Source organism: Homo sapiens, chromosome 3 (assembly GCF_000001405.40).
Source record: "Homo sapiens chromosome 3, GRCh38.p14 Primary Assembly".
Taxonomy (NCBI): domain Eukaryota; kingdom Metazoa; phylum Chordata; class Mammalia; order Primates; family Hominidae; genus Homo; species Homo sapiens.
This window is the reverse complement of record NC_000003.12, coordinates 55,602,297-55,628,534: the sequence shown is the minus strand read 5'-3', so window position 1 is coordinate 55,628,534 and position 26,238 is coordinate 55,602,297. Positions and strand designations below refer to the sequence as shown.

General features: G+C 42.3%; 1 protein-coding gene and 1 long non-coding RNA gene across 22 annotated transcripts in view, besides 3 other annotated features; one reads left to right on the top strand and one right to left on the bottom strand.

Moving 5' to 3' along the window:
- The window catches only part of ERC2 (ELKS/RAB6-interacting/CAST family member 2), a 960,157-nt gene that overhangs the window by 839,933 nt on the left and 93,986 nt on the right, over positions 1–26,238 (top strand). For 11 of the 19 annotated variants that reach the window (NR_132749.2, XM_017006156.2, XM_017006148.2 and 8 more), the window contains one exon: positions 21,569–21,755. The exons of 3 other annotated variants lie outside the window; for them this stretch is intronic. Coding sequence is in view for 15 of the 16 variants with exons in the window: in XM_017006156.2 (XP_016861645.1) it covers positions 21,569–21,625 (57 nt within the window). In the remaining variant the exon portion in view is untranslated. Of the gene's footprint in view, positions 1–21,568; positions 21,785–26,238 lie in introns of all 19 variants that reach the window. 5 more of the 19 variants (XM_047447950.1, XM_047447948.1, XM_047447946.1 and 2 more) reach the window with 1 other exon arrangement.
- Positions 11,967–12,741: an enhancer, noted in NCBI's record as "OCT4-NANOG-H3K27ac hESC enhancer chr3:55649822-55650596 (GRCh37/hg19 assembly coordinates)". NCBI's record gives its function as "activates a minimal SCP1, AML or CMV promoter by ChIP-STARR-seq in naive and primed H9 embryonic stem cells {active_cell/tissue: H9 hESC(naive and primed)}" and the evidence as "EXISTENCE:reporter gene assay evidence [ECO:0000049][PMID:30033119]".
- Positions 12,742–13,517: an enhancer, noted in NCBI's record as "OCT4-NANOG-H3K27ac hESC enhancer chr3:55649046-55649821 (GRCh37/hg19 assembly coordinates)". NCBI's record gives its function as "activates a minimal SCP1, AML or CMV promoter by ChIP-STARR-seq in naive and primed H9 embryonic stem cells {active_cell/tissue: H9 hESC(naive and primed)}" and the evidence as "EXISTENCE:reporter gene assay evidence [ECO:0000049][PMID:30033119]".
- ERC2-AS1 (ERC2 antisense RNA 1) lies at positions 15,438–20,914 on the bottom strand. 3 transcript variants are annotated; one of them, XR_007095920.1, is made up of 4 exons: positions 17,655–17,796; positions 16,114–16,222; positions 15,799–15,840; positions 15,578–15,663 (listed from the first exon to the last, which is right to left on the bottom strand). It is a non-coding gene; the product is annotated as an ERC2 antisense RNA 1 (long non-coding RNA). The 3 variants fall into 3 exon arrangements; XR_007095922.1 differs by lacking the exon at positions 16,114–16,222 and having other exon boundaries at positions 15,438–15,663; positions 17,655–20,914; XR_007095921.1 differs by lacking the exon at positions 15,799–15,840 and having other exon boundaries at positions 15,591–15,663.
- Positions 20,432–20,671: an enhancer, noted in NCBI's record as "active region_19976". NCBI's record gives its function as "activates an Ori minimal core promoter by ATAC-STARR-seq in GM12878 lymphoblastoid cells {active_cell/tissue: GM12878}" and the evidence as "EXISTENCE:reporter gene assay evidence [ECO:0000049][PMID:35858748]".

The window sequence follows — 26,238 nt, the reverse complement described above, 5'->3', positions numbered from 1 at the left end:
GGAAAAATGTTTAAGGCAAAGGCATAAGTAAATAGAAAATAGCAACAACAAAAATAATATGAGATGGTTTTCAAAATAAAAGCTGAATCTTTGAAAAGACCCTATGTATATCATAGACCTGCATGACACAATATGGTAACATGACAATTTACATTCAAATTAGTTAAAATGCAACAAAATGTTTAACTCAGTTTCTCAGTCACACTAGTCATATTTCAAGGAGCTCAACAGCCACACTGAGCTAGTGGCTAGTGCTACAGTATTGGACAATGCAGGTCTGTTCATATCATACACTGTAGATAATAGATTTCCATTGTTGCAGAAAATTCTGTTGACATCTCCTCTGTAGTCTAATCATTGTCCAGGTTAAACAAGAAAAAGGAAGGAGAAAAGATACAAAATGCTTCCTTGGGAAGAAAAATGGGGGTATAACTATAGATACAAAGAGACTTTTTACAATAAAAGATATTATGAGTAACTTTGTGCCAATATATTTAAAAATTAGATACAATTTTCTGAAAAAAATTCTAAACTTACTCAAAATTAAATAGAAAGCCAACCTAAATATATCAGTAACCACTAAAAGGACTAAATCAGTAGCTAAAATATGACCCCCGCCCCCTTTCTTCAAAAAAAAAAAAAAAAAAAAAAGCACCAAGTCCCAGTCCAGATGATTTTACATCCAAGTTCTATTAAAATTCCAAGGAACATCTAATATTTTAAATTAAAAATGGAAGGTCACAGAAAGTCCCTTGATTGATGATTTCAGTCCTGCTTCTGTCTCTTTCATGACCTGTGGCCCATGGAAAGACACTTTCTTTTGTGATGTCTCTATCAAGAAAGAGTTAAACTAAAAGGTTCTCAAGGGCCTGAGCAGCTCTATGGTCCTGTGTTTCTGTGGCTTTAAGACACTCATCTTCTCATTAATCTTGCCTAGCTTCTAAATATTAAGGTGACGATATTGGCTCACCCATATGGCCAATCTGATCTGCTCTGCTAAAAATGATTGTTAAACAGACCCAGAGAAAAAAGAAATTTCTTTTTTTCTTTTTTCTTTTTTTTCTTTTTTGAGATGGAGTCTCGCTCTGTCGCCCAGGCTAGGGTACAATGGCGTGATCTCAGCTCACTGCAACCTCTGCCTCCTGGGTTCAAGCGATTCTCCTGCCTCAGCCTCCCGAGTAGCTGGGATTACAGTCACCCACCATCATGCCTGACTAATTTTGTATTTTTGTAGAGATGGGGTTTCACCATGTTGGCCAGGCTGGTCTTGAACTCCTGACCTCAGGTGATCTGCCCGCCTTGGCCTCCTAAATTGCTGGGATTACAGGCGTGAGCCACCACACCCGGCCAAAAGAAGAAATTTCTGAAGAAAGAGTGGACCCAACAGTTTTGTGGAGCTGAAGCCAAGTTTCAGTTTGTTCCTGTCTCATTCAGAGATGATTTATCCACTGAAAATAATTTACTCAGAGCCCTGAATGACAACACTGTTCAGTGGGATAGAGGTTGTGCTTTTTTGATTTTACATTAATAGCAATAGCAGATATTTCTGGGATGATTCCCACAGGCCAGGCATAATCCTAAAGACTTTATATGCACTAATCCATTTGACCTGTACAATGTCCTGTGAAGTGAGTAGATATTGGTTCCATTTTAAAGGCTAGAAACTGAGACTCAGAAATGTTACTTGTCCAGGGTCACCTGGCTCTGAACGTGTTGAAGGAACTCCAGGTCTGAGAGGACCTATGACCTGTGCTGTTATACACAGATGACAAGTTGTGAGTACTGTGGAGCTTCTATGGTGGGTAAAGTCATTTCCTTTTGGATTTTATATCTCTGGTGAGCAGTAGCAATTCTTCTGTACCATGTGTCTGGTTAGAGGTTACTTTTCCAATGCCACCTTATCCAAAGGATTGGTGAGAAGCCATGAATTTCCTTCTGTAATAAAAGCAATCACTGGCTTGGGCTTTATTCAGTAAATAAGCAGACCTGGCTAGTAAAACTCATTTATGCTGTAATGCTAATGAGTTGCATGTGTAAAGAATGGAAAAAATGATAATTGCTCAGGGATTCCAGAGCCTAGGCTGACTGGAGAGCATATTCTCAGCAAATATGCTTTAGCGGACTTAGGGAAGTTACTCCATCATTTCTCTCCTTCTGGTTTCTTAAAGGATCCGGGGTCCTTACATCAGTAACCACCAGGGCTAATCATTGGTGCTGATCAGTACCAAGTCATTTGCCTGACCTCCTTTGATTGTGTGGCTTTTTTCAAAACTTGTTTTCCAAATACCTCAAGCTTAACTGGGAGGTAAAGGCTGGCATGCTCAGGGCCATCAAGGACAGTTCTGCAAAGGTCAAAAAGGCATGCTAAAGAAACATTTCCCTGTGTTACCACTTCCTTAGCTGCTCATTCCAGACTTACTAGGTAAAATGCAACTCACTTCTGTAATTTGTATTGTGCAAGATGGACTCTGGGAAGCGAAAGTAGCTGAGAAACATTTTTCAGGAACCAAAACAGACGTACATTCAGTTTAGATTCTTTGGAACACACCTACCTGAGATAATAGGGTACTTCTTTAAATGTTTTCTGAACCCACCACAAACCTCCTGTAGAAATACAGACATGCCTTTCAGTCCCCTTGAGTTAACTCAAGGGCTTAAAGGGATAATGCGCCCTGTATTTCACTTCGGTTTAAGTCTTTGTGTTGCTGACAGGGCTTAAAATGGGCAGGTAATCACTGGTACAATGTGTCATCTTTTTTCCTCCCTCTTCTTTTTTTTCTTTTTGAGACGGAGTCTCGCTCTGTCGCCCAGGCTGGAGTGCAGTGGCGCGATCTCGGCTCACTGCAAACTCCGCCTCCCAGGTTCACGCCATTCTCCTGCCTCAGCCTCCCGAGTAGCTGGGACTACAGGCGCCCGCCACCACGCCCGGCTAATTTTTTGTATTTTTAGTAGAGACGGGGTTTCACCATGTTAGCCAAGAAGGTCTCGATCTCCTGACCTCATGATCCATCAGCCTCGGCCTCCCAAAGTGCTGGGATTACAGGCGTGAGCTACCACGCCCAGCCTCCTCCTCCCTCTTCTTATGAAATAAAGTGAAAAGCACTTACTTTTTTTTTTTTAACTTAGCTATTTCTTTCTCTTTTCTTTTTTTTTTTTTTTTCTTTTTTTGAGTCGGAGTCTCACTGTGCCACCCATACTTGAGTGCAGTGGTCCGATCTGGGCTCACAGCAACCTCTGCCTCTCAGATTCAAGCGATTCTCTTGCCTCAGCCTTCCAAGTAGCTGGGATTACAGGCATGCATCACCACCCCTGGCTAATTTTTGTATTTTTAGTAGAGATGGGGTTTCACCATGTTGCCAGGCTGATCTCGAACTCCTGACCTCAAGTGATCCGCCTACCTCGGCCTCCCTAAGTGTTGGGATTACAGGCGTGAGCCACCGTGCCTGGCCTAAGCTATTTCTTTTAAATAAAACAAGGTTATCACCATTTTCCTTTTTGGAAAGACTTGGTTTCCATGGAGAGATGGAAATGGATGGGGTATGTAATAAAAGGGACATAATAAACAAGCCTCCATTTACACTGACATCTTAATTTATCAGGCATTAAGTGGCTGATATTAAATGTTAATGAGGTCTCTGGAAGAGGGAACTAGGGACCAGCCAGGACTGTGTCTCATTCAGTGGCTTCAGGACCAGGTAGAAACCTCAGTTTTCTCATTTTTTTTCTTCCTTTTTCTTTATCATACCGACACCACAGACATGGTTACCATTTATTGACCACTTTGGGATGAGCAGACCTTGTGCTAAGTGCTTTCCATCCAGGTGAAGTCAGCACACTTATTCCCATTTTGCAGAGGAAAAAGCTGGGTTTCCACTGAGTCAGTGCCCCGAGCCAAGGCTGCTGAGTGGCAGAGCTGAGCCTCAGACCCATGCCGTCAGACTCCAGACCCTGAGCATTAACACCTCATGTCTAGTCACTGGCCAAGGCCAGCCTGTTCTTCCCACAGGGCACCTCTCCCATCCACCACTTCCTCTCTGTCCTCTCAGCACCAGTCTGGGGTGGTTTCCCTGACTCAGAACTTTCCCATCCCATCCACCCTGCATGCCCCAGCCATGTTCACCTTCCTGAAACACCACGTTCTCTGTGTCCCTCCCGTGGCGACACATTGTCAGTTCCTCTTTATTTCCAACCATATTAGGTTCAACTACCTCAGACTCGTCCTCACATTCCTCCCGCATGGGCCCCCCTGCGCAGTTTTATGAATTTTCCACCATTCCCAGATAATGAGGTATCATTTTTCCTCTTCTAAAAATAGTGTTCATTCCTTTTTTCACATCTCTGTGCTTATTGCTTGCCATTATCTAAAATGCCCAATATCTGCCTACATCCTACCTGTTGGATTCAGCCCAGATATGCTCCTTTAGGAAACCTCCTCTGAAATTCTGAATATGCCATAAACCCCTCTCTCTTGAGCTGTTGGAGTCCTAACCCAATTTTCTTTGGAATTCCCTTCTCTTGATCACCGTTGGCAGATTCTCCTTTGGCAATCATACATGAAGCAAGACTGGAAATTCCCTATAGACTGTTAGAAATGCAAAATGCTTGTTACCCAGTGCTGCAAAGAAATAGCACTTGAACATAAATTTAATTCTCTCAGCAAGTCAATTTTTACTTTCTGCAGAAAGGGTGCCCCTTGCAGATGGAACAATGGCGAGAGCACACCTGGACAGGGGAGGGGAAGTAGTTCTTATTCCTGATGCAGGACCCTACTGCTGTGTCGTTCCTCTATTGGCTAGGGTTGGACTGCTCAGTCTAAGCTAATTCTGATTGGCTATTTTAAACAGAGCAGGGGTATGAACCAGAGTGGCAGGGTGAATAGTTTGGTGGGAAGGACAGTTAGGAATAGATAACTAAAGGGGACTTAGGTCAGAGCAGGTGACCAGGCATGACTGAGGTCAAAGCAGGTGACCAGGGGAACAGATGTGAACTACTGATTAAAACTGGTGGAAAAATGTTGTTTACTGAAACTAGAAGCAAGAGGGCGAAGAGAACCAGGAAGTTAAACTTTAAAATGGAAAATCAAAGAATAAGAGAGCTGAACATACTGACATACTGATTCTTTGAAGAGAAACTTGGGGTTCACTATACTTAACATGACAAAGTAGGGGTCTTTACTTCTGTAGTTCTCTCTGTGCTTAACAGAGGAATAGAAAATCATAATTACAGCTAACATTTATTGAGCACTTCATATGTGCCAGGCACTGTCTTCATGTATTAATTCTTTCAGTCTTTACAGTAATCCTCTGTGGTAATGAGGAAACTGAGGGAATGAAAGCTCAGGTGACTTGCCCAAGTGGTGAAACTGAAATGCAAACCAGGCAGTGGGGCTTGTGCCTCCCACTGCACTGTGCCACTTTATACCATCCTCAGGTCAGAAACAAGTCACATGTGGGCATGGAGAACAAATCAGAGAACATGAATTCTTTATCTGGAATTTTGCTCAGCTGATAAAGCTCATTGGTTCCCAGCCTTCCTCTAGAAGTGGATTCACAGTTCTTCCCTTGTTGCTCCACAGCTGGGGAATTTTGTGTTGAATCAGAATGTTCTGGTTTAGAAACATTTTCTGGGTTTGAATCAGCATGGTCCAAGTCTCGGTCGGAACCAACTTGACGTTTGCATGGCAGATGGAACTGGAGCCCTCACTCCTCCTCTAATATGAGGAGGAGGAACTCAAGCACTCACTCTTCCAGTAATATGACCCTCTTCTGTTTGGTATTAGATGCTTTAATCCTTTCTGGACCAAGGCAGAGTATAAACAAACAAAGTCAAATATTTAAAATTTTTAACAGCAGCAAAAACTTCCATAAGATTCTTGAAAATGAACTCCAATTTGATCATTTTGAGGACTGCCTAGGTTAGCACTGCTACTCTGATTCCTGTGTCTCTGTAGCACATTTAAGCTGCTAATTTGAAGAAATTGCTGGTAGCTTGCATTTGCCCATACTGCAGAATTTCAAATGCTATGATATATTTTCCACACTTTTATCTTCCTTTGGCCAAGTAGATGTTGTACTTTTTATTTTTTTTCCTTTGGTCAAATTCAATCAAATTGTCATCATTAGAAACACAAGGAAAAAATCACATTGATAAAAGACCATTACATTTTAAGATCCATGATGTGTCACTGTCTACTTGAGAATCCACTGGCTGCTGAGGTGGTGCCTTCTCCACCACATTTCTGACTCATTCCCAGAATAGGACTTTGTATGGAGTCAGCACTTCATATTTGTTATATCAGGTGGAATTTTGGGTGCTTTACCTGGCTTCTACAAATAGTGTTGTTTTGGTCATCGAAAGCAAAGCGTTCTTTACCAAGGGAAGTGTGGCCGGATTTTCAAACAGTTATGTCTGTCAAGTTAGTCTGGGGAATTTGACAGTGCCAGCTATGGATGGCGGTACGAAGCAAACAGATTCGGATGGAAAAATTCTTACCCAACTATGTCCAGTTAGGTTTATGAAAAGAGCACCATTATACCAGGCCTCCTTTGAACAAGAAAGGAAATAGCTTATGTCATGTGAATACAAAGTCCCACAGGAGTGTGCCCTGACTTTCCTTTCCAGCCTCAATTTTCACTGCTGCTTGGCAGGGATGTGATGCTCTGGAACACTCACCTGCCTGGCATTTTCCACGTATCCCATGTCCTCCTCCAATCCACGCCTTTGTTCTTTCTCTCCCTCCTGGAACTACTTTTCTCCCCCAATTGGCCTAGCTGTCTCCTGGCATTTTCTAAGGCCCAGACTAGGAATTCTTTTTCCCAAGGAATCTCCCCTGACCACCTCCCTTCCAAAAGTGAAATGCCACTTTTCAGTGCTTCCAGAATTTGCTGTGCATGACTGTCCTGTTACCTGTTAACACTTTGCATTATAATTATCAAGGTGTCTGTGTCTCCAGCCAGCCTGAGTGTTTCTTGATCCCTGTATCCCTAGCCTAGTACAGTGCCTGAAATCAGTGCTTGGGGGCCTTGTTAAAAGAAGAAACGGCAGGAGGGGAACAGTAGTAGATAAGCGATATTTCACAAAGGAAAAGGAGAAGCTATAACCTGTCTGTATGAACTCCCCAAATATGTCCCGTTCTTTCTTTGTTGTCACCCACCCTCTTTTGCTTTTCATGAGGGAGTGTTTGCCCTAAGTGAAAAGGAAAACCCACTTGTCTTTAGGGACATGTTATGCATGTGGAAGTCTGGCATTCCCAGCTGGGCGTTTAACCAGCCCACCACTTGGGTGTTTTATAGTAGTGTCTCAAGAGGTGTTATCTCCCTCTTTTAGGTCTTTGGAGAAAAAAAAGGTGATCAAAGAAACCAACTCTGGCTGGAGGGGGGGCAGTTAGAGTCAAATCGGGGTTTTAGTGGATAAGAAAGGGGACAGAATGGAAATGGGGTATGGATGATGCTAATATGAAGAATGTGCTTCAAGGCCTCCTGGCTATTTTTGCATGCAACCATCTTTCATATCCCTATAAGATAAAATCACTGTGAAGGGTCATAAACCACTGTCAGAGTATTTGACAAGCCCCATAGGTAGTTGTTCCGAGCTAGTAAAAGCATCTTAATTGGCCTAAATGACAACAGTTATGTTATAAATATCTAGAATTTATGACCTGAGAAGGCGTAATCACATCTTCCATCAGTTAAGTTTGCATAGGAGCAGCTTGAGGATTTAAGATAGGGCTGCAAGTTGGGGAAAATCTGATTAGCCTTAACTTTATGACAAACACAGAGCTAAGTGAATCGGAGTGCTTTCAAGTTCCTGATCCCTGGGAGTTAAAGGCAGTGGTGTTTCAGAGTCGGTAAAAGCCACCCAGTTCCCTCTGTGCAGCTGTCATTTTATTGGCCTTGTAAAGTCTCCCGTACACTGTGACAAATCCAAGACCATATACCTGCGAAGAAGAGATGTTTTAGATTATGGGGCACAGAGGAAGCAGACGGTGGGGTTAGAGGGTGAAAACCTATGTGTTTATGCCGATCCTTCTCCGGAATGTGCAGAGTCATTGTGAAAAGCAAGTCCGTGCTGCTTTAGGGCTCGCTCCAGGGTCTGATGAGACACCTCATTTTCTGTGGTAATTGAGGAAGCGAAATTCAAAGCAGGGTTTAAAAGTTGAGTTTATACATCTAAAAACCCCACACATCTTTCAAGTTAGCTGGAAATTACACTTGGATTTTTAAAATATGATTCATTTCCTGAATTTTTATTATGGGGATGGCATTATTATCAAGAGTACTACTACATCTAAAGCAAAAATCATAACAAAGCCAATCTGTTGAAAGGATGGGTGTTTTAAGAGACACATTGTAGAGATAAATTTGATGTCATTGATCAACCAGGTCATTGCCTGGGGACTCGCTGGTCAATGGAGTGGAGTCATCTTTGAGGTAAAAGGCAAACAGCCAACTTAATCCCAATTTGCAGAGCTTCAAAGGTGAACAGTCATTTTGCCAGGCAATGAAGAGCTCAGGTTATCTATTTAATGCCAAAGTCTGTGAAGTCAGTGAAATTTCTTTAATGAATTTGAGAGCAATCCTTCAAAGAACCCTTGATTGAAACCCCTAGAGAGGCCAGTTGTCTTTGAACTCAAGAGATGAAGTTTATCCTAGATTAACCTGATCTTTCAGTTTGCTCTGTCTTGTAATGTAGAGACAGAGTTCTGAATTTTGAGAGAAGCGTTATGGTGCTTTGGCAGGCATATCCAAATCCGATGTGTTTATTATAGCAATGTAGGAACACTTTTAGCTTTGTTGGTAAGGAGGTCTACCAACCAAAGGATCCACTTTACATATGAAATTTTTGTACATGTCTACCATGTTCCAACAGTTTCTGAAGATCAGATGGGTCCCAAGGTATATACTCAGTTTGTTACTTCTCAGTGGGTATGAAACAAAACTTCAGTTTTGGTTTTATTATTATCGTACGTTTCACTGCACTTTCATACCCTTAAACCTTGCATCTCTCAAATCTGGAACTCTGTGCCTTACGATGTGGAAGAAATAGGAAATCTGGAACTGATTATGAAATTATGAAGCAGGGAGATGCAGAAATGTGCGAGGATCAGTGTACAAATGCATAAACCCTGATGCACACAAAGCCTGGTGTGAAGGACACATCACTTTGGATTGGAACCCTGCTTTTACATTTGAGCGTAACGCAACCTAGCATTTGCCTTGTGTAGTGCTTGGGAGCTTTTGGTGTTAACAGAATTCTTTTCTAAAGAAATTCCTTCGGATTTCTTCAGAATTTGTCCAGTTTCCAGGTTCCAATAGGAAAAACATGGACAAGGTTTTAATAGAAAAATAGTGCTCCAGATTTTTCAGTTGGCAAGTGCCGTACTTAAGAACTGTTCCTGTTTTATTAAGTGGTACAGGTTAGCTTAATAGGGGAGTCCTCGACATTTGTACCATGATTCCAGGAAAGAGAGACACCTGGGTCCCCTGGAGAAGACACCTGTTGGGATTTTGAGCCCACTTGTGGTTTTACCATTCCATTCGCATCTCACTGGAGACTACGCTTGAACAACAGTTATATGTGCTGATAAGGCAAGACCAAATCCATCAGCGTTCTCTACTCCTGCCTCCTCGAGAAAGGATAGCTGGGTCTTCCCATGATGTTGTTTCAGCTTTTCCTGTTGATCAGGACAGTAATGATGGTGGTGGGAATGTTTTGTTTTTATTCAATTTTATTGTTCTGCTTTAGTGTTTTAACATTTCTAAAGGCAATGCATTTTTCTCATTAAACATTTCAAATAATTCAAAAATCTTTGCCAAAGAAAATAAAAGTCCCCTCTAATCCACCATCCAGAAATACTAACATTTTGGTGAACTATGTATCTTTCTAATTTTACTATATATAGACTCTTAAAAAGAATGGGATTATATTATAAATGTTTTTATAATCTGCTTTTTGAACTTAACATTGTATGTTGGACACTTTCCACATTAATAAATATACACCTATGGAATCATTTTTATAGTAACGGAGTATGGAATTTTGCATTCTTTAGCCAGTTATTAATGGTGAACTTTAGATGTTTTAAAATGTTCCCTAGTAGAATTCCCTAAAGCCTTTTGGGCTTAACCTTTATTCACTTAGCCAATAATTTCTTTGGAATAAATTCCTAAAAGGGAAGTTGCACATTAATATTGATAAAGATTGTGAAATGGCCTCCCAGAGGTGATGCCCATTCACCCTGCTTTAATGCCTTGAATGGCACCACCTCTCTGTACTTACCCCAAGTCTCTTTGTTTGGTGTTGCTTTGCTTTTCCAATTTAACTCCAATAGGTAAAGAGCTCTCAGTATTTTTCTTCTGGGTGGTAGGGTACAAACCAACAAAAACAACCAACATGCTTAATTTGCAAGTTGGTTCAGGGAGAGATGAAAAATATCTTTACAGAAGTAAACACCAATCTTATGACTGCCCATATGATATACTCCATTTCTCCCACCACCGAGATTTGTATAGTTTCTCTCCTGTCAGTATAATGCTCTATCTAAAATTTTAGAGGTTTCAGAATGGGTTGCCTATCCCAGTTTCCTTGTGAAAACAATTTTCTTTATTGTAAGTAAAGATTTCTAGGCCTTGGTCAATAAAAGAGAAATGGCCAGTGCTAGAAAGAGTCAAGTGGCCCCACTTCCCTTGCTCCAGATCTTAAAAACACCTAAAATGAAGCTCAATTAACTGGTTAATTTTTGCTGGTCATACGTTTTGAATGTGGAACTTCTTGGTCATTTGAGGGGTCTGACATTCTGGGCCCTTTTATCCTTTTATTGGTGAATTCACTGAAGTGTAGGCAGACAGAAAATGTTCAAGTGGCAGGCAGATAAACTTGTTAAATCCCTGGAAGTCTTTCCTTCTTTGCTCTGGGAGTTTATCATCTTGGCAGAGTTAAAAGGCAATTAGGCCTGCAGGTCTTTCCTGGCTTGTTTATTGGTGGTTTACACATGGGTGTTGAAGAGACAGGGCCATATTAAACATTCTGATCCTGCTGGCCGGAGGGGAATGAGACCTCAGCCCAACTTGGTAAGTCTCCTTGAGAGACAGCCTTGCCAAAACGCTGGAGGAAAATTGTTTAAATATAGTACCTGTGCCCCACGATGCTCATTGTTGGTGGAAAATTGCAGTCGGCTTGCTTCATGCTGTGTTCCATTTCCTGGGAAATGGTTTTATGGAAGGACATTTGATGAAAAAGTTCATTCCTTCTGTAATTGTTAGCTGCCCCTGTGGTGTGAGTTAAGGTAGAGGCGCACTGGAAATATTTCTTGCCCCAAATCTCTAGGGCAAGCCCCTTGCATGAGAAGGGAAGGCTATCAGTTTGAAACTGGGTGAGGGACAGATTTCCATTAAGTCCTCTGGTCCCTCTGAGTTCTCAGAGTCTCCCCAGCCAGGCTGATCTTGGGCAAAATTTGTAAAGGAGGTGGGTCTTGGGTTTTTGCAATCACTTCTTCCTTTTCTCACACCCTGCCTTCCATCGGCAAAGCCTGCAGGCTGCCTCCCTGGGATGAAGATACAGGGTTGGAGTAACGCCTAACTCCTTCACACCTATGTGTTAGTGAAGTGAAATGGCTCATCACTTCACCTCCTCCCCTGTTTTTCACAGTCAGCTTGGGCACTCATCTTAATGGAACAAGTGAGAATTGCTAGGGTTCAATTTGCTGGGCTCGGGGGTCAGGCACTCCTGGGTTCCACTTCTGGCTCTGTGTCTAACTGTGTGCCTTGAATTTCCTCTCTAATCTCAAGTTTTTTCTATTTGTAAAATAGGGACAAAGCTAGTCCCTACCATGCTAGTTTGTTGAGAGACTAAATAATGCATGGAAAGTGCTTAACATAGTGCCTGGCACTTAAAAAAAAAAAAAAGCACAATAACTGGTAGCTTTTACGATTAAAATGTGCTTTATTTGTCTAACACATATATGTAAAATATATATTATGTATATGTGTATATCTAACACACATATATGTAGTGTATATATATATATGTGTGTATATTTACACAGTCCAGTGACAATTATATTTTTTGACAAGATGTAGCTATTTTTGTTTTACCAGTCTAGGGTGTTACTGAAATATAAAAACGTATCTGTATAAAATGAGAAAATCCTTGCTCAGGTCCAGAATACTTGGAATTTAAGGACTTTCCATTTCCACAACTGGCCATTGTACTCAGCGGCCAATGGAACTCCTTTCCTAAGTGGCTGCTACTTATCCAAATCTTGGTTCCTCAGGAGTTAGGCACCCTGCCTTTATTTTCTCAACTAAAGAAAACACAACAGATAACTGCAGCTTTTATTCTCAATCTGACCTTTCATGTTGTGAAACTCTTTTGCCATAGTGTCTTGCCAGCGTCTGCACAAGGACTTCCTCTAGCTGAGTAATGTGGTTCTGATTAAGGACATCCTATAAGACCCAGGAGGATGGCCTGGGAAGGAAACCAGCCTGAGACACTAGAGTGAATTTCCATCCCTCAGTCAGATATATGATATTAAAGACCAGAAGGTATATGGAGTTTGTCGTTGGAAGACTCAGAAACAAAATTAAAGCAAATGGCTGACAAATTGGCTGTCTTTTATGCAAAGTTGACAAGTAAGCTGCCTCTTACCCGAAAGAGGATATGCAGAGCCCTCCGGCCAAATGGCTCGGCAGGCAGTCAGCAGGTCTTTTGAAGTTCCTGCTCGCATGCCACTTTTAACAACAAGGCCTCTGCTGAATTGCTTCCTCGTAAAGACATGGAAACTTAATTTTCACCGAAAATATCATAGTTCCAACAATGATCATTCATTCCTCTCCTTAGTGCATGTAATATTGGGTAAAATACCTGTGTTATGTACAAATGAGGTATTTTTTTTCTCCTTACAGTTTTATGAATTAGGCTATAAATATTAAACCTTACTTTATTTCGCGGATGCTAAGACCTTTCCCTGGGGCCCACTAGGCACTGGCTCACTCCTGCCATAGTCAGGAGGTGAGGTGATTGTGACCAACAATGGAAGATCCCATTTGCTCTCCCTGGATTCATGGAGGCTCTATCCACAGGAGGAAGGACAAGAGGGCTGTGCAGTGGGCAATGGCGTTTGGAGAGCTTGGAGTTTCTCTATCAAATATCTAAGAATCTACTAATAGTTGTAATTCTAATATGATTTTCTTGTTAATCTCTGTCAAGCCATGAAATCTGATATGTTAACCATGACTAAGCCATGAAATTTGTCAACTTTGTCTGTGATTTACACAGGCTCTGGGTATTTTATTTTTTAACTCTTAATACAAAGTGTAGAACAGTACTTCCCAGTATGCTTTTCCCAGCAGGCAGCTGGTATCCTATGACAACAAGTAAGAACAGAGTGTACGTGTTTCTCTTGCTGTTTCAAGGACCAAGGACAGATAAGATAAAACCTAAAAACTAAATAATATATTTTTCTTTGGGGTGATAACTGTGAACATAGTAGGCTTGCTTAAACATCAATAAGTATCAAATAAACATCCAAAATAGTTTTATGGTTCCTATCATTGGGTGTGATAACACACTTCCTTAAAGTGGTAGGTTGTTTTTGAGAGAAAATGAGTGAATAAAACCTGTTTGTTTGTTTGTTTTAGTGGTAAGTGATATAATTTCTCTCTTCAACATAGTATGAGCATAGGCTCTGTGACCTGAAATCCCATTTTGCTGTTGGCTAGGTGGGTGAATTTGTGTAAGTCACTCAACGTTTTTTCCCCGCTCAGTCTTTTCTTCTAAAAAATGAGGATGATAATACTGGAGCCTACTTTGTAGGGGCCTCTAAGGCACTAAAGAGAGGCCATCTATAAAACTCAGAGTGAGCACATTTGTCTTTTATCCACGTGGTCTACTAGTATCATTGGCATAGTAGTATATAATGATATAATAGATCATTGGGTATCTTTGTCACCCAAAGGAAAATTCATATAATTGGGAAAGGATTTTTTTTTAATTTTATCAGAAAAAATATGGGTAGTTTTTGACCAACCATTACCATACCTGTAGACAGTTTTTCATATGAAGGAAGGAGAACAGCTCAAAGGAAGAAAGAAATGTTGCAGAACTGGAGAGTAGTGAGGGCTGGGATGTCTTTCTCTCCTGTCCCTACCAAATGCCTTTTTTCCTTGTACTCAGAGAAAAAGAATACCCAGATCCTCCCCAACTGATACCTGGCTTCCACTCTTTAGAATCTAGAATCAGATAATCAGATGGCTTAAAACTCAGAGTATTTTGGTGACTTTGAGGACCATGTAGTCTAGTGATTTTAAAACTTTTGTTTTTCCTACAAAATCTTGTGCAGTGCTTCAGATCCTAAAAGAGCCCTTTCCAGATACCTTTCCAGTAGATCCGTAGGATATAACTTGTGAAAACAGAGTCAGGCTGATCTGTTCATTTTATCAACAGTGAACAGAAGTCTATGAAGTGTGGGCAGATTCCTCCAGGTCTTACCACTGATGGCCAAAAGTAGCCCAGCCATGTCTTCTTTTTTTTTTTTTTTTTTTTTTTTTTTTTTTGAGAGGAAGTCTCACTCTGTCTCCCAGGCTGGAGTGTAGTGGCACGATCCTGGCTTACTGCAACCTCTGCCTCCTGAGTTCAAGCAATTCTCCTTGCCTCAGCCTCCCAAGTAGCTGGGATTACGTTGCCCACCACCACACCCAGCTGATTTTTTGTATTTTTTAGTAGAGATGGGGTTTTCACCATGTTGGCCAAGCTGGTCTTGAACTCCTGACCCTCAGGTGATCCACCCACCTTGGCCTCCCAAAATGCTGGGATTATAGGCATGAGCCACCACGCCCGGCCACAGCCACGTCTTGAGTTAGTCAGTTCCCTTGCCATTATCCCGACTTCTTCACTTCCCACACAAACAGGAGGAAGAGAAAAGCAAGGCATAAGAATCCAGGATGGTTTTAATCAACTTGCCCAGGCTCTTGCACCCTTGAATTTTCCATGAACAATGTCATGGAATCTGTGAAACCTCTCCCACCTAAAAGAAAATTACCTGGAAAATGTTGTGAATGTGTATACACGCATTTTCCTATGGTGAAGGTCCATAGCTTTTATCAGATTCTCCCAAAGGAGTTTGTGACACCGCCCCCCAAAAAGGTTAAGAATGATTTCCCTATAATTTGTGCCCCTAAAAGTCACATTTCCAGTTCTGATTGTGAGCTGCAAGGTTAACAATTACATCCACTTTAACCTTTCAAGGGAAATGTAGCATATAATCCTATGAGTGTCTGAGGTCCCAGGCTTGCTTGTAAAACAGCAATTGGGTTGTGAATTATTCAGGCTGTCTCTGTAGCTTAGTTCTCAGCTGGTATTCTAACTGGAACTAGGTTCTGACCATCTTAGAACTCAAATGGTTCAAAACTAGGAAAATAATTCATGTTTATTTACAATGCTCCAGAAAAGTACATTTATTTCTAGACATGCACTTTCATTTATTTGGTTAATTCTGCTTTGGTCCTGGATTAGGGTTGCCGGAATTTCACAAATACAGGACATCCAGTTACATTTGCATTTCAGATAAGCAACAAATAATTTTTTTAGTAGAGTTCTTGGAAGGGAGAAAAATGAATCAGCCTTGCAGATGTAGAAAGAGCTTTCTTTTCAACTCTAGAACATTTGCTGCAAAAATTAAGGGAAGTTTACTGTAACAGTTGCAGGGTCTTTTGGAGATAGTAGATACATTCTAAAACTGGTTTGTGGTGCTGATCGCACAATTCTATAAGTTTACTTAAAATCGTTGAACTTTACACTTACCATGGATGACCTTGATGGTATGTAAATTTTGCCTCGGAAAAACTGGTAAAAAAAAAATTAAGGGATTGCTTTATGCCAACTGTTGCTTAATTTTTAATTCTGAGCTTCAAACTACTTTAAGAATATGGTTACCATAATTCTGCTCCTCAGAATAAAGTATATAAGCATGAACACCAAATTTTGCATAACATTTCTGGACCTGCTGAATAAGTACTTGATAAATAAGGAATGACATCTCTGGATACCAACTTCTACCTGAACCAGGAGTCCACACACCATTAAAATCCTTTTCTTGATGCTGGGAATAAGGCTTACCTGGGGCAAAAGCAAGGAGTTGCTGTTTTGGGAAGTCTTCAGTTGTTGATTATGAGAGTGACCTCTTGTGACACCTGCCACTTTGAGACTGCCCCTCTCTCAGTTCATGCTGAAAGGACATGGGAAGGACAGTACTTGTCTATGGTGTAAGTGGAGCCACCTTTTTGGGATAAGTTCTTCAGTACAGACAACATGTTCACAAGCCAGTGTGTAGACTCGATCAGGAGGCACCTCCACCAAAAAACGCACAACTCATTCTCTTGTTTTAGTGCCAGCTGAAACTAGGAAGTGTGCTGCACTTCTCTTTTATCTCTGTTGACATACCCAGGTATTCTGAGAAACACACTTGACCAGGATGAATGATTTCAGTAGAGAGGGGCTGGGATGGGATTGCTTAGCCAGGAAGAGTGTACCCTGAGAACTTCATTCTCTAACAAGATTTGAGGACTACTCCTCCAGATTTGATTACTAGACTCCAGAAGGGACAGTCCTTTATACAGCTCATAAGAGTCACTGTGGACCTCTGCTAGACCCTCCAGACAAGTACTTCTATTTTCTATTATTGTTCTAAATGTTAGCTCTTATCCAAATGAAACAAAACAAAATGCCTAAAAGAACTAGGGGAAGAGAAGCAAGGCCCCTCAGAGACACCTTTATTCTTGCTCTTTCTCCTTTCAAGACATGGTTGCTCCCTAGGCAGTCACATTTCTCTGGTGATGGAGAGAAAGGAGGGCAGTTGGAGATTGAGGGGACAGCATGGGATAGCCGAGACATGCTGATAGCTGGAGGGGAGGCTGCCTGGGACCTGAAGAAGCAGTGATGTCCCAGCTCCAGTCATCTGAACTCCCCTAATAGGCCTCTCCATCTCTCCAGACATTAGATCTTGTAGAGAAAGAAACTGCTAGAATCCAAATCTTTTCACACAGTGAGGCCCCCAAACAGCCCAGCCTTCACACACAAGCCAGCCTGCTTCTCCTGACTGACTTGATCAATACCTCAAGGTGCACAGATGTCTGTGCCTGGAAGCAAAGCCTCATTGGAACCCCACTATTCTGGAATTCCTGGGCTGGTCTCAGCCAGCTGCCTGTGTGTAGATACAACTAATTAGCTCACGGAGAGGACAATCTAACTCAAAGCCCTCCTTCCCAGCCTAACAATGCTTAAATTAGTTCAATAAATTCTGTCTTCTCATTCAAACCAATCCTGAAGGAGGGACCTCTGCCAGCTCACTCTTAATTACTGCTGGCATTTGAAAGCAAGTAAATGCCTTCCCTTGAAAAATATTCTATAAATCCATCAATTTTGCTTATTTTAAATGACTTCTCCCACATTTGTCCAAATAAGTGAAGCTTTACCATTTTTGGCTTTTTCTGCAGAGTGAGTGAGTTTTAGGCGTTTACTGGAAAGATCATTTCTGATAACACCAACCTCTTCCACATTTTTAGCTTTGGGTTTTGAATCCCGGAAACCCAGCAATAACCTTAAAGTTCCATTTTCTTACTTGTGAAAGTGAGAAGCTGAGCACCCATGCTGGAACTCACCATATAGATGCCTCACTGCTTTTCATTTCTAAGTTTCTCCTCCATGTCTTTTTCCTCTTGCCAGTGTTTAGATAAAATTATTTCTATTTGATACATTTTTCTTCACTCTTGTCCTTAATGGGTCAAGTCTCATGTGGCTTCATAGCCCTGACAGACAGTAGTATTGCTATTTTGGAGTCAAGGTCTCGTTCTGTCGGCCAAGCTGGAGTGCAGTGGCACCATCAGGGCTCACTGCAGCCTTGACCTCCGAGGCTCAAGGAATCCTCCCACCTCAGCCTCAGCCTTCCGGATAGTTGGTACTACAGGTTCGTGCCACCATGCCTGGCTACTTTGTGTGTGTGTGTGTGTGTGTGTGTGTGTGTGTGTGTGTGTGTTTTTCCGTAGAGATGGGATTTCACTATGTTGCGCAGGCTGCTATCTTGAAGTTTCTTTAAGTCAGTTCTCCTCAGGGGATATTTTATATGGCTTTTGTAAAGTTCTAAGGAGGGTGGTGGTTCTCTCAGTCTCACAACATAATACTACAAGGAATTATGTTTTTAAAGATGCTGTCAGCAGTGGTTTTTAACCAGGAAATGGGGAGCTGGGGAATGAGGGGGGATCTTGGCCCCCATCCCTGGTTATTTGTCAATGTCCACGGACATTTTTGGTTGTCCCAAATGAGGGGTGCTAATGGGTCATCTAGTGGGTAGAGGCCAGGAATATCCTACATTGCACAAAGCAGTCCTGATGACAAATAATTGTCTGGCCCAAAACTTCAAGTGTCAAGGTTAAAAACCTTAAATTAGAGGAATTCTTGTTTTTTTTTTTTTTTTTTTTGTTTGTGTTTGTTTGTTTTTTGCTTTCTCTCAAGTCCTGGGATAAAGAGAAAGAAAATGCCCCATTTTGATGCGTGCAGGCGTCCTGATCCTGAGTTCTTACATCCCACATGGATCCAGGAATTGGAGAGCACCAGAGTACCAGCGAGCAGGGCAAAGTGCAGGGTGGAGGCAGATCTTCTGAGCTCCAACAGCTGTCTGAGCTCCAAGGAGAGACAACTTTGACCAAAGCAGAGGACCAAAAAGTTACAAGGATGTTTAGTTTGTGATAAAAATCATTTTGCAGATTAAAGTGCTTCCTCCTGCCCATAAAATGGTATGTTCTTTAAATAACTCAAAAACCGAAGGCATTTAACTGTCGCAAGCAGGAGGCAGGCCTCGGAGCCACAGTGGATTGATTCCATCCTCGAAATGGAGCCTACCCAAGCTGTAGGTGGCGCTCTTCCTGCTTTCTCCAGTGTGCTTTTGAATAACCCCTGTAACTCGCAGCATGAAGCGACAGGGAATAGAGGGTGTTTCCTGGAACCAGTTTCTCCCTCCACATCTCTTGGCTCCAGTCACCCTCACTTCCTCAGTGGAGCATGATGGCTGCTTAACTTCCAGTCTTCCCTCCGGTCACTCCAAGCACAGTTAGGCAGAGATCGCACAGGCCCTGCAAAAAGTGTCAGTGTCTCTCATTGGCTTTGATGGGATCATGTGCTCATCCTGAACCAATGCTGTGGCTAGGGGAGGAATGCTGGAAGCTAATTGGCTGGGGCCTAATTTAGGACACACCCCCTGAGTTGCAGTGGAACCTTGTGCCGTGCAGGTGAATTAAATAAAAGTGGGGGCAAATGTGTTGCCTCAAAGGGAAATTGGGGTAAGAGAGGCACCCACACACCACTCGCTACATGGAGACTTTGAATTCTGTGGTGGAAGACTTAGGTCTTGCCCTAGCGTTGCTGTTAACACTAGCTGCTTGACTTCAGATAACTTTAGGACTCTCCCTGCCTCCTTTTTCTGTCTGCAACATGGAAGTAATCGTTCCATCAGAGTGGTTATAAAAAAATCAAGCAATTATCTTGGGATATGGGAAGGATTGTGCAAACAAGTAGTGATGGTGTAGATGGGAATGAATTCAGTTTAGCTTCTAAAGTCTCAAAGAATCTAGACCAGTTACAACCCACCCTGCTAGTCCATGCCAGCCTTCGGAAGCCAGTGTCTAAATTTATCCCAATTCTCACTGTTTCAGGTCAGTGTGGGAAATCCTCTGAGGTCAATGATTGAGGTAATTGGCTTGCCGTATCTTGACAAAGTCTCTGTTAAATGACATAATTGGTTTTAATTATGTAATTACGGCACTTAAAATGTGGGGGTGAAAGGTTACTATTATATTTAGAAGTGAGATCCCCAAATGAAGCAAGGGTGTTTAAGCCAAGGTGTCTTCGAATTTCTCATTTTATTTTTTCAGAAGGAAGCCAGAGGAGGCTGGCCTTGGCCCTGGTGATTTGGGGATGATTATCTTGCATGAGGTAGTGCCGGGGCTGATCGCGGCATCATAGGAACCTTTGTAAAGAGAAGGAAAGGGCTTCCTTAAAGACCTCTTTGTGATCTGAAGTTAATGAGCAGTGGGAACTCAACTGTCAGCAATTGAATCTGATTGGGCAGGGTAATTATATGATTGCCTCTGGTGTTTGCACATGCACGGGGATATTTTTATTGTAAAAAACCTAATTGCTTACTTACTTGGTGGAGGGAAAACCTAAACAAATTTGTGTTGTCATAGGTTAAGAAGCTATCCTTTCTTTGTCTCTAAAAACGCCGCTTGCTCTGCTTCTTAGAAGTGAGGGTTTTGTTTCTTTTCGATTTCAGTCAAGGATGTTGTTTGTAGGACTTGGATCATATGATAATATTAAAACAGAAAGCTACTTTGGACTACGTGTCTTTGGTCAAATGACCACATGCTTACTACCCAGTCTTAAGCCATCCTCTCCAGTGGTCTCTTTCGTAATGCAAAGGTAGCTAGAGTCCTGGGCAATATTCAAGCTGCTGGGACTTTCCCAGCCTTTAGGGGGTTTTTTGTTTTGTTTTTTTTTCCCCCACATGGAGGCTCCTGACAAGATTGGCTTCATAAGCTATCTGGTTTCCCCTAGTTGCATCAGGCAAGTGGGAGGTATCATGTCTGCGATAGCCTTTTAGACGTCAACACCAAGGGTAAGAAGAACAAAGCGCTCCCTCTGCAATTTCTCAGGGACTTGGAGGAAAGGAAGGGGCAAAGTGGGCTCCCGTATTGTGATACCAAACTGTGATCCACCTTCTTGTCTGTTTCAACAGTCTCCATGAGGATGGCATCTCCCTTACCCCGATGCTGGTGTGCAGAAAGGATTGCTGCAATTGGGTCTATTCCGTAGCAGTTCAACTCTGCATTATTGTTTTTTTTTTCTCTCTTCTTATAGAAAAAAAAAAAAAAAACACACTATTTTCTAAGTTCTTTAGTTTCCTGAGATCCCACTGGCAGAAGTCAAAATGCAACTGGATTGTGGGCATTGGAGGAGCACCAGTTCCTCCTGTAATCAGGGCTGCAGACTCCAAATCTGGGTGCTCTGGTTGGATGTAGGATTACAGGCTGCAGAATGGCTGAGAACAAAGGACTTTCAGCCCTTCGGACCAGCCAAAGATTCTCAGGAATCTCGCACGTGCTGACCCACCCCAGTCTTGGCTGGCTAACTCCATGGGTTCTCCAGGCTCAGCGTTACATGTCACTTCTTCCCAGGAAGCCTTCCCTGACCACTCACCCCCAGTCTGGGTTGGCTGCCTTTGCTTTGTGCTCCATGGCACCCTCTAGGTTTCCTTACCCGCTGTCCTGTAACTGCCTGTCTGGTCTTTCTCCCACATACCCCATAAGCTCCATGGGGGCAGGGTCTGTGTTCCTATTTGTCACTACGATATCTCCAGAGCCTGGCACCATGCTTAATGAATGTGTGTAGAATGACTGAATGAGGAGAGGAATGGTTGCTGGGTGTCCTAGGAACTGTGGTATGTGCTGTCCTGGTTTCCCTGCCCTTGCTGTTAATACTGCTTTCTTGTTGCTTATAATTTTCATAATTTTCATTGTCCCAGATGATCCAGCTCTGTCGGAGGCACGTAGGCACAGCCAAATCTCATGCTGTACATTGATCACCTGTCCAACCTTTGCCTAGAGTGGGAGCCCCCAGTTCCTTCGAGATCCAACATTACCTGTCTGTAAAGAAGAAGAGGAGGAGGGAGACAGCGGGGAGGATCCGGTGGCAGTTTAACACCAGAGCAGGTCCAATGTTTACTTTTACCCTTTTGGAGGTGGGTAACGGCAAATGCTGGGTGCTGGGTTTCAGAGAGACTCTGCATAATGAGCTTGGATTTGGGGGCTCACATGTACTTTACATTTTGCTAGAGTGTAGGAGTTGCTATTTTTGTATTTAATTCACAGCCAGACTGTTCCATGATTCCCACCAGTGTAGAACAATAATCTAGGTCCATCATCCACATGATGTAAATTGTTGTGTCAGCCTCATGGTGGCCACACAGTGTTGTTTGGATCTTGCTACATGGACAGAGAGGAAGGTTGGTCATTGGTTGCTACTTAATGACTATTACATTTACTATTTGCTTTCCAAGGCCTATGATTTTCAACACTTTTTCTTGTTTTGATTTTGTGGCTTTTGATGTTTTGAATCTTCCTCTACCCCCTAGCCCAGCCCAGTTGACTTCTTAGACCATGAGATCCAGAGTAACTACTGAATGAATAGATGAGATTTCACTAGCCCTATATGATTTTGGATATACCTAACCAGCTCCTTCCCTAAGCAGAATATGAACCTGTGACTTTTCAGGCTTCAGGCCAGAGAGCTTCCTACTGAACCCCTAAACCCCAAGCCATCACGGAGTTTGGACTATCTGTTGTTGATTGGCCTGCAATCATGATTTCTGAGTAGATGGACATTGGTACATGGAAACCGAAGCCTCACATGTGGCAGAAAAGAATAAACCCACAGAGACCATAGGGCATTGGCCTTATGCTTCTTGTGCAACCGTCTGTACTCAACTCTCCTGGGTCTGACTTTTATTCTCATCTGTTGGCTCTGAGTCTGTATTTACTCTGCATTCTTGAGTTGCATTTTTGCTTTGGCATAATAAGTACCTAAGTTGGAATCTTTGGGGGTTCCTCCTAGGAAGAGAGTTTGAATCTACTTGCTTTTACAGTAGATATGTTCATCAATGTTGTACACTTTGAACCAAACAGAATGAGCCATGATGAGTTTTATTCCTGAGTTCTAAGGAAATTGTAGTTTAATTTTCAGTTTTGGAATTGAACCAAGAGATGCCTCACCATCTCATATTCCTTCTGGATTGAGGCAGTATTGTAATAACTGCCTACAGAAGTAAATCACATACTTTTGCAATAAAAATTTCTTTGAATGACACTTAATTTTATAATTAAACTTGGCAGTACAGCCTCTGAAGTGTCTCATCTTGCCTAATCACAATGATCTATTTCCTTTCAGAGTACTTCCGTATGCAATGATTAGTCCTTTTGTTATCATCACATTATAGATTGAAAAGAATAATTCTTAAAAAGAAAAAGAATGAATGATTGTATTTTACATAAAATTCAAACCACTGATTATTTCTGTTGTTTGTTTTAAAAATATTTTCACCAGTCATGGTGGCTGATGTCTGTAATCCCAGTGACTGGGGAGGCTGAGGTGGGAGGATCACTTGAGGCCAGGAGTTGGAGACCAGCCTGGGCAACAAAAGAATAAAATAATTGGCTAGGCATGGTGGTGCATGCCTGTAGTTCCAGCTAATTAGGAGGCTGAGTCTGTAGGATCCCTTGAGCCCAGAAGTTCAAGGCTGCACTGAGCCATGATCATGCCACTGCAGCCCAGCATGGGCGACAGAGTGAGACCGTCTCAAAAACAAATAACCAACTAAAAAAAAAAAAAAATTTGCATGTTTCTTCACTGATTGATTTATTCTGCAAACAGATTTAAACAGGTTCTCTAAGTGCAGTGCCTTGAAGAGCCACTGGCATCCTCGCATCACCTGGGGACTTCTTAGTAATGTAAATTCTCAGGTTTTGCCCAGACCTACCGAATCAGAATCTCTGTAGATGGAGTCCAACAAGATGTGTTTAAATGGGCCTCTGGATGATCCTGATACACAGGAAAGTTTGAGAGCCACTGGTTTAACATTCTACCAGTCCATGATGTGGGGGTATTAAAGGGAGAGTAACTACGTATGGCCCTACCATCCAGCTCCTTGTGATCTGATCAAGGGCATAAGGCATAAATTCATCAGGCAAGTTGGCAGAGTGATCTTTACAAAATGTAGATTACATCATACACTCCCTTCTTAAATCCCTCCAGGCAGTCCCCTTTGTACTTGTAATAAACGTAAATGCTTAGCTCAAGCCTACAAGGCCTGGCATGCTCTGTCCCCTGACTACCTTCCCAACCTCATCTGTTGCTGTTCTCTCCCTCCCCCAGTGCCGTGCCATGCTGCACTGGCCTTCTTTCTCATCCTCAGACATGCCTGCTGAGTGTAGTGTCAGCAGGAACATAGAGAAAAGGGAAGTAGGGTAGAGAGAATTGTAAAGGTTAAATAAGAGACTTGGACACTGAAGTATTTTTTTCACATTATAAAATATTCCTAAGCTACTCTCTCCACTGGTTAATATTATTGATATTTATATATATAGATGTGTAATATATTAATAGCATAATCAATATTAATGGCCTCACCTTTAAGCCTTTCACACGTCTCAGGTGTCCTTCTGCCTAGGACACAGTTTGAGGGGAGGGTCTCGGTTGTTTTCTTCATCCCTCACACACTGACTTCACACAGATCTGGCCCTCAAAAATCGTGGACAAATGAAAGAAGAGATTCTGCAAATCCAAATGCCCTCACAATGCTAGCAAAGTCTGAAAGGATTTGTTGAATCATTAAGGAAATATTAAAGTCGTTTAGTTTCATCTTAGTGTAATATATTTTCATTGCTTTCTCTCTCTGAGAGTCAGCCTGGCAGGCACAGTGGGAACTGAATAAACGTGGCCGGAGAGACATGCTGGGGGGGGTGAAATCATCTGTTTTGCACAAGAATATTGATGGAGTCAGTGAATTATTTTTACTGTCTTTATTCAAGTTTTAGAAAGGATGGTGACCATATTCATTGGATTTTGTCTTTTTAAAAGATTATCTATGAATGCCAGTTTTGATCTTTGGGATATCATGTATACCGTGTGATTTGTGTATAAAGCAGCTGTTCAGATTTTTATGGAATGTGAAAATACTGTATCTCAGGATTTTCTTCATAATGAGACAGGGAGAAACACACATTTCAAATATGATTTGTTTCAAAAAATGAATTGGATTTGAGGCAAAGGGCTTTTTTTTTTTTTTTTTTTGAGACAGAGTCTCACTCCGTCACCCAGGCTGGAGTGCAGTGGCACTATCTCAGCTCACTGCAAGCTCCACCTGCTTGCAGTAAGATGGGGTTCACGCAGTTCTCCTGCCTCAGCCTCCCGAGTAGCTGGGACTACAGGCGTCCACCACCACGCCTGGCTAATTTTTTGTATTTTTAGTACAGATGGGTTTTCACCATGTTAGCCAGGATGGTCTCAATCTCCTGACCTTGTGATCCGCCTGCCTCGGCCTCCCAAAGTGCTGGGATTACAGGCGTGAGCCACCGCACCCGGCTGCGGCTTCTTAAAAATTTAGGACTTCTGGATCCAAGAACAAGGGCAATGGTTTTTGGACTTTTTGTCTTATTTTTGTTTTGACTATCTCTAGCTCTAAGTTTCACAATAACAGGCTATTATTTTATAAACATAGTATCTCTGGTTTTAGACATTATTTGCTCATTAGGAAGCCTTTCATTTGAGATCTGTAGAACAGAGAAGTCATGGAGGTAGGGAAGGGGGAAATGCTTCTTAAGGTCTCCCAGCTTCTCCTTACCTGGTAAAGATATCCCAGCATGAGGAGTAAGAATATCCTTACTACCTTAAGCTCTGTGGATATATGAGGGAGCCCTTCTTATTGTTAAGGAGATGCTCGGTCTTCTCTTGTGAGTAGGGACAAGACAGGCATGCCCTGTCCCACCCTCTGAGAACCCACAGCCAGAGGCTGGGCAGGATTTAGCAAATAGCTACATTTTCACACTTTGAAACACACTCTGAAGGATGAGTACAGAAACTAGCACAGCATAGAAGAGGTAAACAAGTCCTCTCTGGAGCTGGCAAGGAGAGACATGAGGTTAAGACCATGAAATGAAAGATGATCAGGCGTTCATTGGGGGGGTGAATGAACATCTGATGGCTTAGGTGTTAGGTTGTGTTAGGTTGTGGTAGCATGGGAAGGGGGGCAAGGGAAAATGTCCCCGGGGAGCTGGCATCATGTCCCACAATAGCTAGGGTTCTGCCCACAGAGGCTACACAGCAGAGAACCTCCTGAGCAACACTGCCACAGAGTGAACCCCAGCGGCAGAGCGCTTCTCCTGCAGAGACTGAGATTTCCAAGTGTCCACTAATAGTAGATGCACTGTCCTAGCATGACATCAGCACCGTGGTACCTGTTTTTGGTTGTTTTCCTGGTTCCTCCAACTCTTATGGTGCCTCTGTCTGAGATACCTCCTTTTCAGGGCAGCCTCTGCTGGTCTCCTCCTTGAGAGCAAAGCTGCCTGCAGTGGACATTCACTATTCCATGGAGGGATTTGTATGGCTTTTAGGGAAGGGTTGTGAGCATCTTCAGGAATC